At 43.2% G+C, this 14,459-nt stretch overlaps 1 protein-coding gene across 4 annotated transcripts in view; it reads left to right on the forward strand.

The window, feature by feature from the left end:
• Positions 1-14,459, forward strand: part of ACSL5 (acyl-CoA synthetase long chain family member 5) — a 54,261-nt gene that overhangs the window by 35,129 nt on the left and 4,673 nt on the right. For all 4 annotated transcript variants that reach the window (NM_203379.2, NM_203380.2, NM_016234.4 and 1 more), the window contains exons 7-17: positions 263-441; positions 1,219-1,251; positions 1,340-1,391; positions 2,212-2,285; positions 2,658-2,735; positions 3,929-4,063; positions 7,644-7,778; positions 8,602-8,697; positions 12,349-12,421; positions 12,703-12,791; positions 13,081-13,197. In NM_203379.2, coding sequence (NP_976313.1) covers positions 263-441; positions 1,219-1,251; positions 1,340-1,391; positions 2,212-2,285; positions 2,658-2,735; positions 3,929-4,063; positions 7,644-7,778; positions 8,602-8,697; positions 12,349-12,421; positions 12,703-12,791; positions 13,081-13,197 — 1,061 coding nt within the window. The remainder of the gene's footprint in view (positions 1-262; positions 442-1,218; positions 1,252-1,339; positions 1,392-2,211; positions 2,286-2,657; positions 2,736-3,928; positions 4,064-7,643; positions 7,779-8,601; positions 8,698-12,348; positions 12,422-12,702; positions 12,792-13,080; positions 13,198-14,459) is intronic.

The raw sequence follows: 14,459 nt of genomic DNA on the forward strand, positions 1-14,459 counted from the left end.
CTTAAGCAGAAGGAATTCTGTGGTTCCTCTAGAAACTGTAAAATCTGCTGGCACAGTTCAAGAACATGTGCTTCTGTTTCAGTTAAGTTCATTTATCATCAATGGAATGTTTCAGGTTGTACATTATAAATCTGATTTGCAGGTGTAATCTCCTTTGGACACCTGTTAGCTTTGAAAACTTTTAAAACCTCTTCCTTCTTGCAAGGCAATCAGGTACTTAGCAGAGAGAGGGAATGACCTCTGGTTCTATTTTGGCTTCCAGCTGATATCGCCATGGTGATCTGTGACACACCCCAAAAGGCATTGGTGCTGATAGGGAATGTAGAGAAAGGCTTCACCCCGAGCCTGAAGGTGATCATCCTTATGGACCCCTTTGATGATGACCTGAAGCAAAGAGGGGAGAAGAGTGGAATTGAGATCTTATCCCTATATGATGCTGAGGTATGGATCTGAAATTTAGCTTGCAGCTCCAATGCTTGTCCAACACCTTGGGCAACTTGCAAGATACCTTCCCAAGAGGACAGTGTTCTTGTTCTCCAGGGGTGGCACGTGAGGAGTAGATTAGACTCATGCTGTGAAGCTCTGAGAATAATTTCCACAAGACAACTTTGAAACTCATGCCAGGAGAGGACAAAGTTCTGTGGCCAGCTGTATGGACTTCTAAGTGGATAATATATAAATAGGGGTTTAGTAATAGTTAAAGGATGTGGCTCCTGGAGCCAGGCTGCTTGGGTTCGCATGCCAGCTCCACATCTGTTAGGCAACCTTGGGCAATCTCATCTCCCTTCTCTCGGTCCGTAAAATGGTGATAAAAATAATCACTACCTCACAGAGGTCTTGTAAAGAGTTAGCTTAATTCATATATGTAGATTTCTCAGGACAGTGATGGATATGTAATAAGCTCTGAAAATGTTAGCTATTCATTTCTTTCAAAAAAGATTTAGTTAGGGCCCTAGATGACTGAAACTTAAGAGTACAATGGGAAGTTTGAACATGCAATCTACCCTCTATAGGTAGATGATTTTCTAGAGAAATCTTATGCTCTTCCCTGGGGCTTCCATTGTTCCTGAATGTTGGCTTCTGGTCCTGATCCAGGTTGGAATTTTGCTTATATTCCCATAGAGATGTTCTCACGGGAAAGGGAGGGAGAGGGCCACATTTATCACAGTCTGTCCATCTCAACTAATGTCTTTCTTTCTTGGTTTTCCATTCACATAGAACCTAGGCAAAGAGCACTTCAGAAAACCTGTGGTAAGTTTTCTTCTGCCTGAATTTGAGCCTTGCCATAGTCAACTCTCAAAGTTCATGGTGGAATAAGCCCTTGTGCTTCCTCCTCCAGCCTCCTAGCCCAGAAGACCTGAGCGTCATCTGCTTCACCAGTGGGACCACAGGTCTGTGCCCATGAAACTGAACCTTAGACCCCTGGTCAGCCAAGAACATGGCTTCAATTCTTGGCCACTGGTAGGCTGGTAAATACTCCCTCTAAAGAGCCCTATACTTAGGGGCTCACAGCCTAAGGCTTCTAAGTGTGAATTCCCAAATGGAAAAACATAAACATAAGTAAATACACTTTATTTAATATATTGGGAGGTGTTTATATTCAATAGATTTCAGGGGTCTTAAAGATGATGTCAGAAAGTCCTTTCCCCCGCCCCCACCAACCCACCACTCTCTTGATTTGACACCGCTGGAATGGTTTCATTCAATCAAGATAACTCAGTGATAGTTCTCCATAAAGGGCTTCAACCCCACCCTACATCCACCCATCTGTTAGAATGCTTAATAGTTTTTAATGTGGTCCATCATGGTCTACAGTTATATTCTTTCTAGTATGCCCAGTTTATAAGGTTTATAACCATATCACTATATAATATTGGTAGATCTGGAATTCCAAACATATAAACAGCATGAGATGTGGGGCAGAGGGACAAGGAGGGTTAACTTGAATTTTTCTTTGCAGCTGTGCTTCTATCTGAAATCATGGCTGTGCTCTGCATAGTAGTAGAAGGCCAACGATGCATTCAGCAGTAGAATCTCCGGGGGCATTAATTATTCCTAAACAGAGGCATATACCATCCACAAAAAGACACAGTGACAGGAAATGCTCTTGGCCTTCTGGAATAAAACCAATTGAATCTAGTTTCTTTCAAGGCCAAAGGCTACCTATTAGCTACATAAAGTATCTTTCTCTCCACCTCTTATTTCCTACAGGTGACCCCAAAGGAGCCATGATAACCCATCAAAATATTGTTTCAAATGCTGCTGCCTTTCTCAAATGTGTGGAGGTCAGTGGTCAGTTGAAAAAGAGGCTCTCATTAAAATGTGAATCTGTCATAAGATTTTTATTTTTGAGGTTAGAGCAGGCAGACACACACACACACATACACACACACACACACACACGTTAAAGGCTGGAGTGTGGACAAACACCAGCGTGTTCTTTGTTTAGAGGACTGTACATTTTCAAGCGTTGGTCTTTTAGGATCACTGCAAATTTCTACACTATATGCAGTTCAAGGCATCTCAGATCTACACAGTGTACCGCCTATACAGCTGTCTGTGGTAGTCCTGGGAGGAGGTAGTTTTAAAATCTCCATTGGAATTGAAAGTTGGCATTAATCTCATGTTGCCTCCTCTTACTTCCCTGGCCTACATAGCATGCTTATGAGCCCACTCCTGATGATGTGGCCATATCCTACCTCCCTCTGGCTCATATGTTTGAGAGGATTGTACAGGTGAGTGTTCTGTGTTCCTAGCAGTATGTGGCAAGGGGGTCCTGACTTGCTATCACATGTTTATTCCAAAGGCAGCTACACAGTATTTACTGTTCTTTCTCCGGTGTGAGAGGTGCAGGCAAGGAGTTGGCTCATGGGAGCCCTAATCATGGCATGGCCCCTCATTTCCTGCAGAGTCTTCCTCTGCTAAGTCTGCATGTGTCCAGGGAGGATAGTACTTGCTCCTGCCTTCATGGGGGTGTGTGAGTCTAGTGACATCACAGCTAGGAGCTTACTATCTATCTGCCCTTAATTCTGAGCTGACACAAGACATTGTCTTCTTTTTAAATTTTATTTTGGTTAGAATTTTTGAAAAGATCTAGGATTAGAGAAAAGGAAGTTCCCTACAGAGGATCAGGGAAGGAGCATTTGATCTACATAAGGTGTGAGATGTCCCCCGCGCCGGTTTTTGCACACCTGAGTGTGTAAGGTGGTGCTGTCAGCATGGTGCATACCGGAGGAGGTCTGCTCTTCTGTGAGTGGACTCCAGGCTTTTCAGGCTATTTTGAGGCTGATTTGAGAACCAAGAGCCATGTCAGCCTTTCAAAAACGCAGGTAGTGTGGTTGGAAAGTTCTCTCTCTGCTCCTCGCTACCCCCAAATGCCTCTTCAACAAGCTCATGGTTGATGCCTAAAATGCCAAAATGCAAGATTCAGTTCTTTGGGCTAAAGTAATGATATCTGATTCATAAAAAAATTGATTCTAAGAAATCTTAAAAAATATTTTAACATAATTTATGAAATTGTGATGGTCTTACGATTGAAGGCAGGTTCTGCTTTAATTGGCAGTGCTTTCTTAGTGCCACATAATGAATTGCGTCTTACAAAGGATGATTATCTTAGACTGTCACACAGACCTGTGGTGGAGTCTGGGGGACCACACAGTCTCAATATCTGTCTTATCTGTCATGCCACCACAACAGAAATAAATGTCCATCCTTTCTTGGGGGAAGGTTCTCAGAGTCCTGAATTGGGAGGGAGGTGCTGTGCAAGAAAAGTGTCTGTGTGCCTCAGCCCACTTCCCAAATTCCTTCCAAGACAGGTCCCCACTGAAGGGGTTGTTTGCCTCAGCCCACCTCCTGAATTCCTTCCAAGACAGGTCCCCACTAAAGGGGTTGTTTGCCTCTAAGCTCTATAATTTGGTTTTGTTTTCAGGCTGTTGTGTACAGCTGTGGAGCCAGAGTTGGATTCTTCCAAGGGGATATTCGGTTGCTGGCTGACGACATGAAGACTTTGAAGCCCACATTGTTTCCCGCGGTGCCTCGACTCCTTAACAGGATCTACGATAAGGTACTAACTTTCAGCTGAAGGGACTGTCTGTGACTTGGGCCTGCACGAAGGAACTCTGTACTACTATGAGATTTACTCCACCTCTACCTCCACCCTCTACAAGTATCTACGTAAAGCCGTGTGTAAATACAATCCCCGCCAGGTGTGGTGGCTCACTTCTGTGATCTCAGCACTTTGGGAGGCCAAGGCAGGCAGATTGCCTGAGGTCAGGAGTTCGAGACCAACCTGGCCAACATGGTGAAACCCTGTATCTACTAAAAATACAAAAATTAGCTGGACTGGTGGGGAGCACCTGGGATCTCAGCTACTTGGGAGACTGAGGCAGGAGAATTGCTTGAACCCGGGAGGCGGAGGTTGCAGTGAGCCAAGATCACACCACTGCACTCCAGCCTGGGCAACAGAGCAAGACTCCATCTCAAAAAATAAATAAAAATAAAATTAAAAAATGAAAAATAAATAAGTGCAATCCCCTTTTCCTTGGATAAGATGACTTGGACCTGATCTGAAGAAAGCTTGACTAAGAGACTTGGGGGGCCCCTCAGGGTTCAGCAGACATCTTGGGAAGTTGTTCCCTTTCTGAAGTGCCAGGCCCCATGATATACATTTCAGATGCATCCTCTCATTGAATCCTCACAAAATCATAGTAAATCATACTTACACCTATTATTTCTAACTTATGATGAGGAAAATGAGCCTCAGAGGTTAAATAACCTGCCCAGAGTCACATCTAATAAGGGGTAGGGCAGAATTAAGCTTTCAGTAGTCATGTTTCAGTAGTCATGTCGGCTAGTCATGTTGATGACTAGCACTGCTCTATTTTTCATTAGAAATTACAGAATGGTGATTTCTGTAATTCTGTCTTCCTCTTGCATTCATTAGCTGAGATTCTTCCATAAAACCTGGTGAATATTTGATTCTTTTTATTTATCAATCTTCAGAAGAATGGATTTGTGCCTCAGCAATCTTCAAAAGTAGCCAATGAGATTTTCTCTTTGTATTTTTAGGAATTCATAATTTTCAGATTTTTTTTTAATTTCAGTGATTCTTTTTTTTTTTTTTTTTTTTTGAGACAGAGTCCCACTCTGTCACCCAGGCTGGAGTGCAATGGCACGATCTCAGCTCACTGCAACCTCCGCCTCCTGGGTTCAAGTGATTCTCTTGCCTCAGCCTCCTGAGAGCTGGGATTATAGGCGTGCACTACCACACCCAGCTAATTTTTTAATATTTTTTAGTAGAGATGGGGTTTCACCATATTGGCCAGGCTGGTCTCGAACTCCTGACCTCAAGTGATCACCCTACCTCAGCCTCCCAAATTGTTAGTCTTTCTTCTTGATCTTCTAACTGCCCCATCGTGGCAGTTGGGAAACCTCATCAAGTTGCTCATGTGTCCTTTTGACAATACCCCTGTAGCCTCTGATAGCTTCCTTGGTTTCTGGCACAAGATGTCTCAACCTCATCTTGTATATTTCTCACCCAATTCTTAGAGTGTCTGATTGCTTCAGGGAGCCGTTGAAGCTATTTGAACCCAGGCAATATAGTATGTGATGATTCCTCGGGCTGGGATCCGTGAGGAAGTAATGCATGGCCATTCTTCACATGCTTTGGAACCCTCCCCCACCTCCCCAACCACCTCCAAGATTTTAACTCTTCCTTTCACTCTTAGGACTCTCAGCAGATGCTAAATGGGCTCTGGTGACAGGGCAGGCAGTGTTCTAGCAGAACTGATAACAATTCCAGCAGTTTCTTACCATGCTACGCAATTAGTAGATTTGGTGGTTGTTATGGTTTTTGTTCATATGTTGTTGTTGTTGTACATTTTTTATTTTTCAGAGATAGTTATTGTATAATATAATACCTAATACACAGTTCACTTCTGGAATGTATTTTTTTTTTGTTTTGTTTTTGTTTTTGAGACGGAGTCTCGCTCTGTCGCCCAGGCTGGAGTGCAGTGGCACGATCTCGGCTCACTGCAAGCTCCACCTCCCGGGTTCGTGCCATTCTCCTGCCTCAGCCTCCTGAGTAGCTGGGACTACAGGTGCCCACCACCACGACCGGCTAATTTTTTGTATTTTTAGTAGAGACGGGTTTTCACCGTGTTAGCCAGGATGGTCTCGATCTCCCTGGAATGTATTTTTAAAATGAAGGACTTTATTAGCACACGTCTCTAATACTAGCTCTTTGTCAGTGACTTGTTGAGGGAGGGTGAGTCTTGTGAATGTTGAAGAAAGATAAATCTCTTTTAGTTGAGGGAGATTCTAAGAATGGCATGATGCAGGAAGCATTTGAGCATGGATCTTGGAGACAGATTATGACATACTGGTACAATGATAATGTTATAGGCATAAGAAGATGCTTATGTCCTAGAGCACAATTTACATTAGAAGATGAAAATTATCACCCCTGCTTGGCTGGAGGCCCAAAAATGGGGTTATAAACATGGAAGATGGATGGAGAGGGATTCTTCAAATTTTGAACAAGAAAAAAGACTTCAATTGCCTTGAATCTGACTTCCAGTAGGGTGGAATCTTGAAAGCCAGATAAGAGTTCAGGACTAAATTTTGGAAATAAGGGGTCACTTTGAGCTGTACTTGGGGAAGCTCTCCTTTGGCAGGAGTGTGGTTGATGGAATGTAGGGTCACAGTGAGGTCAGAGTCAGGGAGACCAGGGAAATCATGCGAGCTGGAAAAATGGTGTCAGAATTAAGCCCAAAGGGAAGAAATCATTTTAGTAGGAAGGTAGGAAACTCTGTTGGGGTTTGTATGGTGTGGCTAAAGACACCTTGTTTATAGGGAAGGGTGGGAATTCTCCAAGTTCAGTTATATAAGCATTACAGAGGGAGAGGGAGGAAGACATGATACTTGTTTTAAAAAATCAGATTCCTGGGCCGGGCGTGGTGGCTCACGCCTGTAATCCCAGCACTTTGGGAGGCCAAGGCGGGCAGATCACGAGGTCAGGAGATTGAGACCATCCTGGCTAACATGGTGAAACCCTGTCTCTACTAAAAATACAAAAAGCTAGCTGGGCGTGGTGGCGGGTGCCTGTAGTCCCAGCTACTCAGGAGGCTGAGGCAGGAGAATGGCGTGAACCTGGGAGGTGGAGCTTGCAGTGAGCCGAGATGGCGCCACTGCACTCCAGCCTGGGCGACAGAGCGAGACTCTGTCTCAAAAAAAAAAAAAAAAAAAAAAAAATCAGATTCGTAGGCTGCCCTTTGACCTACTAAATCAAAAGCCCTAGAAGTGGTGCCCATTGAGCTGTGTTTTTTGTTTGTTTGTTTGTTTTAAATCTAGTACCCCCCAGGTGACTTTTTAGGCAGTCCCTCTTTATCTCAGTTGTCAAGTTGTTTCCCAAGGACTAAAAATTGGGGCAGGAAGTGGGAGGACTGGAGCTCTGCATTAAGTTCACTTCTTTCTGAGCATGGCCATAATTCTCTGGGCTCATCATTATTCAGCAATCCAATTCATGACTGTGAGACTGTGAGACCACTTCCTTATAAAGCTAGAACACACTGTTTCTTGCTCACTAATGGCTTTGATGAGTATCTCCAATAGGTTTCCAACTAAAAGGAGCTATCACTCTGCAGGTACAAAATGAGGCCAAGACACCCTTGAAGAAGTTCTTGTTGAAGCTGGCTGTTTCCAGTAAATTCAAAGAGCTTCAAAAGGGTATCATCAGGCATGATAGTTTCTGGGACAAGCTCATCTTTGCAAAGATCCAGGTAGGTTGGGCAGGTCCTGGACTGAAGCAGGCAAATACCTGGGCTGCCTTCTGACTCCTTAGACCTTGCTTTTCCTCTGCTGCTTGAGCGTCACTTTAACTAGAGATCCTTTCAGACTTTGTGTCCACTGCCTTTTGAGATCTTTCTTGTACCACTTTACTACTAAAGGGAGTAGGTTTAAAAAAAAAAAAAAAAGCAGGCTGAGTGTGGTGGCTCACACCTGTAATCCCAGCACTTTGGGAGGCCTAGGTGGGTAGATCACCTGAGGTCAGGCATTCAAGACCAGCCTGACCAACATGGTGAAACCCAGTCTCTACTAAAAATACAAAAATTAGCCGGGCGTGGTGGTGGGTGCCTGTAATCCCAGCTACATGGGAGGCTGAGGCAGGATAATCGCTTGAACCCAGGAGGTGGAGGTTGCAGTGAACTGAGATAGCACCACTGCACTCCAGCCTGGGCAGTAGGGCCAGACTCTATCTCAAAAAAAAAAAAAAAAGTTTTATTTAGGTTCTAGCACTCTCTCTTATTTTCTTTGGTGGTCTGTTGAGATTATAAGCAATTTGAGGGGCTGAAGAATACAAATTATTTGAGAAATATATGGCTTCTGGTCCCAGCTATGGATAGTGATGACAATAATAGCTAACATTTTAAGTGCTTTTCTACAATCCAGACTGTATTCTAAGTGCTTTGTAAATTAACGTGAGAATTGATGTCAGTTTAATTCTCATAACAACGCTGCACAGGCTATTATACCCACTCTACAGTGGAGGAAATTGAAGCCAAGAGAATAGGTTTTAGTATGTCTTTTGTTTCCACTGAACAGGACAGCCTGGGCGGAAGGGTTCGTGTAATTGTCACTGGAGCTGCCCCCATGTCCACTTCAGTCATGACATTCTTCCGGGCAGCAATGGGATGTCAGGTAAGCCAAGCACCTTCTTTGAGAATAGGCTATTTTACTTTTGCACAAACAGGCTCACTGTTTAAATAAAAATGAAAACAACTAAAAGGTACCAAAATGAAAGTCACCTAAATTCTCAAAATCCAAAGAAAATATCCTTCTAACCATCTCTTCAGGCATCTGTGTGTAGAAACCTTCACATAAATAAAACCAGTGCTCTAAAACACTTGTTAATGTTGCTCCTTGTCAAATAAAGCTCAGCATCATTTTAATGATTTCACAGTAGTTTACTGAATGTAGTTGACCCTTGAACAATGCAAGAGTTAGGATTGCCTACCCCCATGGCAGTCAAAAATTCATGTATAATACTTGACTCCCTAGCCGGGCATGGTGGCTCATGCCTGTAATCCCAGCACTTTGGGAGGCTGAGACGGGCGGATCACGAGGTCAGGAGATAGAGACCATCCTGGCTAACAAGGTGAAACCCTGTCTCTACTAAAAATACAAAAAAATTAGCTGGGCGTGGTGGTGGGCGCCTGTAGTCCCAGCTACTCGGGAGGCTGAGGCGGGAGAATGGCGTGAACCCGGCAGGTGGAGCTTGCAGTGAGCTGAGATTGCGCCACTGCACTCCAGCCTGGGCAACAGAGCAAGACTCCATCTCAAAAAAATAAAAATAAAAAAAATACTTGACTCCCCAAAAACTTAACTACTAGTAGACTACTATTGACTAGAAGCCTTACCAATAATGTAATTAATCAACACATATTTTGTATATGTATTATATACTGTATTCTTACAATAAAGTAAGCTAGAAAAAAGAAAATGTTATTTAAGAAATCATAAGGAAGAGAAAACATATTTACTATTCATTAAGTGGAAATGGATCATCATAAAGGTCTTCATCCTCACTGTCTTCATGTTGAGTAGGCTGAGGAGGAAGAAGAGGAGGGGTTGGTTTTGCTATCTCAGGGGCAGCACAGACAGAAGAAAATCCACCTATCAGTGGAGCTGTGCCATACAAACTTGTGTTGTGCAAGGGTCAACCGTACCCAAATAACTAATCTCCTATTAATGGACACTTGAGTTGCTTATGATATTTTTCATTGTTATAATCAATTAATAATCTAGAATAAATCCACGCAAGAAGGGATTATTGGGTCAAAGTAATACACACAATGTATCTGTGTGTGTGTGTGTGTGTGTGTGTGTGTAATAATGTATATTATCAAACTTTCTTCCAGAAAGATCTTTTTTGCACATTTCTGCAAGTATACAAGGCCTTATTTGCCCATGCTCTTGCCAGTGACAGACTTTATCAGTCATTCAGATATTAGCTAATCAGATAAATGAAAAATCTTATTACAGTTTTGTTTCTTTTATTTACACCAAACATCTTTCTATTGCTTATTGACATGTATATTTTATCCATGAATTATTCTATTACTTCCTTATAGAAAAACAGGCAAAAGATAATTTGGTCCTTTTTTATATTTCTAAGAGTTCTTCACAGAGTAATACAGGTTGAGTATCTCCCTATTTGAAATGCTTGGGACTAAAAGTGTTTTGAATTTTGCATTTTTTTCCAATTTTGTAATGTTTGCATTATAAAACAGTTGAGCATTCTGAATCTGAAAATCCAAAATCTGAAATGCTCCAAAAAGCATTTCCTTGGAACATCATGTTGGCACTCAAAAAGTTTTGGATTTTGGAACATTTTGGATTTCAAACATTTGGATTAGAATAGTCAACCTGTAATATTAACTTTTGTCATGTTGGAAACATTTTTCCTGGTCTCATCATTTTTGCCCTGTGTATTGCCATATAAAAATTTCCAATGTTTTTATAGTCAAACTAAATAATCTTTTCTATTTGTAGGTTTTAAACTGCTTAGACAGGACTTCCTAACCCCCAATATTTCATAAGACTGTTTCACCCTTATTTTCTGGCAAACTTACCATTTTCCATTTTTTCCTTTTAAGTCTCAGTTCCACCTGAAATTTGTCCAAGTGCTTGGCCATGCATATTGTCTCAATTTTCACCCAGATGGATAATTAGTTCATTCATTCAACCAACCATGCAGAGCATGAACAAAACAGGCATAGACTTTTCCTCATGAGTCCCCTATCTGTATAACCACAATCAAAAGAGACTCCAGAATGATGCCAAGGCCTGAGGTCCTTCAAATTAGCATCCTCTTAGCCATTTTTAATACTGTCCTTTCCTTAAGCCCCTAAAACCAATAGATCAGCAGGTCCTGTTGCTAACTCCTTCCCGAAATGTCTTCTCTAAGCCTTCCTCTCTCTCCCAACTCTGCCTATCACAGGCCACACCCCCCATTGCAGCAGCCCTTGAACTTGTTTCCTGCCCCCAGCCTCTCTCCAGTCAAGATTATCTTCTATACCAAGGATTGGCAAATTGTAGCACTGGCTAAAACTAGTCTGCAGCTGGTTTTTATTTTAAAAATATTATTCAAATACAGCTATGTCCATCCATTTATATATGGACTGTGGCTGCTTTTGTGCTATTTTGGCAGAGTCAAGTTTTGAGTCAGATACCAGATGGCTCACAAAGTGGAAAATATTTACTATCTTGGCCTGTACAGATAAAGTTTGCCCACCCTTGTTTTATATCATAGTGGGGGCTATTTCCCTTAAAAAATACTACTCCCCTTCTTCAGTTCCTTCAGTGATGCTCCATTGCTCAGGGTCAAGTTCAATTGCTATTGGGTTGCACACCACTTAGTGAATAACTTACATGTTCCCACCTACTTGAAATGCTGCATTTTCTTTTCTTTTTTTTCTTTTTTTTTTCTTTTGAGATGTAGTCTCGCTCACTGTGTCACCCAGGCTGGAGTGCAATGGCACAATCTCGGCTTACTGCAACCTCCGCCTCCTGGGTTCAAGCAATTCTCCTGCCTTAGCCTCCTGAGTGGCTGGAATTACAGGCATGTGCCACCAGGCCCGGCTAATTTTTGTATTTTTAGTAGAGATGGGGTTTCACCATGTTGGTCAGGCTGGTCTCGAACTCATGACCTCAGGTGATCCTCCCGCCTTGGCTTCCCAAAGTGCTGGGATTACAAGCATGAGCCACCATGCCTGGCCAAAATGCTGCATTTTCATATAAAGTTCTATGCTTTGGTCTATTTCCAGACCCTTTTGGTTTCTGAATGGCCAGAAGGCTTGGTAGTAAATACTTTGCAGCTTGGGTATGAGTTCAAGGTTTTTTGTTTGTTCGTTTGTTTGTTTGTTTGTTTTTTGAGACGGAGTCTCGCTCTGTCACCCAGGCTGGAGTACAATGGCGTGATTTCAGCTCACTGCAACCTCTGCCTCCCAGGTTCAAGAGATTCTCCCACCTCAGCCTCTCAAGTAGCTGGGATTACAGACACCTGCCATCATGCCCAGCTAATTTTTTTTGTGTTTTTGTAGAGATGGGGTTTCACCATGTTGGCCAGGCTGGTCTCAAACTCCTGATCTCAGGTGATCCTCCCGCCTCGGCCTCCCAAAGTGCTGGGATTACAGGCATGAGCCACCGCCCCCTCCAAGTTCAAGGTTTTAAGACACTAAGTGGTCTCGAACCCTTAGAGACCTTGCTTTCCTCGTGTCTTGACCATAGCACGTGGCCAGCTCACACTTTATCTTGAGTAAGTCTAAAAGCTCTTCTTTGGTTTCCCAGGTGTATGAAGCTTATGGTCAAACAGAATGCACAGGTGGCTGTACATTTACATTACCTGGGGACTGGACATCAGGTAAGTCCTCCATCTGCTGGGCAGGAGGTGCCATGGTTGGGAGAAAGGTTCTAACTGAACTAGGACTTTGGAGTTTAGATAACTTCAGTTCTCTGGACTAATGTGGCAAATGCAAAATTCAAGTTTTGGGTCCAGGCCTGCCTATCTTGGCTAGTCTGCATTGGTGCCAGGTGATTTTTCAGTCTTCCTCTTCTAGAGTCAATTCATAAATATCTTAGAAATGTGCCTGGAATTATCACCATGCAAGAGTTTCTCAGCTAATTCAGCACGGTATGTTCTAGGTCACGTTGGGGTGCCCCTGGCTTGCAATTACGTGAAGCTGGAAGATGTGGCTGACATGAACTACTTTACAGTGAATAATGAAGGAGAGGTGGGTAGGTCATGCCCTGTGGTCAGACAGTCATGGTGGGGAGGTTTATATCAGAAAGAGCAAATAATTGTAAGCAAACTTGGATTTGGCCCCTTTGAGATTGTTAGCAAAGAATTAAGCATTCTGAACTTCACTTTCCTATCCCCTATAGTGGAGACTTAGATCTGGTGCTCTTCACAGTGTAGTGGAAGCCATCAAATGATTTAAGGGGAGCAGGTGTTTCATAAACTGCCCACGCTGGGAGGAGCAGCCTTTGCTATTGTCACCGCCTTGTATGTCTGCTGTGCAGGTCTGCATCAAGGGTACAAACGTGTTCAAAGGATACCTGAAGGACCCTGAGAAGACACAGGAAGCCCTGGACAGTGATGGCTGGCTTCACACAGGAGACATTGGTCGCTGGCTCCCGGTAGGTATATCATCAGAACTCCTGGAAGTCTATGCTAATGGACTGAGAAGAACAATCTGCTTATAGCAAGAGGTGCAGAAATGCAAGTAGGTTAATCAGCTGAGGCAGCTGGAGGGGATTAGGTTTGTACCCTACCTGGCTTATGACTTCCTCATACTATCCAGAGAAGAACATACAGACTGAGGTGGTGGATCACCTGAGGTCAGGAGTTCAAGACCAGCCTGGCCAACATGGTGAAACTCCGTCTCTACTAAAAATACAAAAATTAGCTGGGCATGGTAACGGGCACCTGTAATCCCACCTACTTGGGAGGCTGAGGCAGGAGAATCGCTTGAACCCAGGAGATAGAGGTTGCAGTGAGCCAAGATTGTGCCACTGCACTCCAGCCTGGGTGACAGAGACTCTGTCTCAAAAAAAAAAAAAAAAGAACATACAATTGAAAGAATCTAGGTTAAGTTAAAAAAAGGCTGGGCATGGTGGCTCACACCTGTAATCCCAGCACTTTGGGAGGCCGAGGCGGGCGGATCACAAGGTCAGGAGATCGAGACCATCCTGGCTAACACGGTGAAACCCCGTCTCTACTAAAAATACAAAAAATTAGCTGGGCGTGGTGGTGGGCGCCTGTAGTTCCAGCTACTCGGGAGGCTGAGGCAGGAGAATGGCTTGAACCCAGGAGGCGGAGCTTGCAGTGAGCCAAGATCACACCACTGCACTCCAGCCTGGGGGACAGAGCGAGTCTCTGTCTCAAAAAAAAAAAAAAAAAAAAAAAAAAAAAAAAAAATATATATATATATATATATATAGGCTGGAAGTCATGAGATTTGTGTTCTGGTTGCAGCTCTTCCATGGATCAACAATATAAAATTCTGAGAAAGTAATTTAACGTGTGAATAGGAGCTGCCAAAGCTAGAAAGTCTTTCTTAAAAAAAAATTTTTATAGAGATGGGGTCTCGCTGAGTTGACCAGGATAGACTCAAACTCCTGGCCTCAAGCAATCCTCTTGCCTTGACCTCCCAAAGTTCTGGGATTGCTGGTATAAGCTACCACACCAGAAGTACTGCCAGAGTACTTTTGGTATTTTGATCACACTGTTACAGAAGACACCAAGATGTAGACCAGTTGAAGTGTTTTCTTCTTGCCTTATTCCTTATCGAATATACAACCAGCAAGCAGTAAGTCAGTGATCCTAGCACTGTTTTTAGACCCAAACTGAAGGTGGGATTCTTTAACAGGTCAGGTAGACCTGCACATCAGAGTTGGCA

Source organism: Homo sapiens, chromosome 10 (assembly GCF_000001405.40).
Source record: "Homo sapiens chromosome 10, GRCh38.p14 Primary Assembly".
NCBI classification, from domain to species: Eukaryota; Metazoa; Chordata; class Mammalia; order Primates; family Hominidae; genus Homo; species Homo sapiens.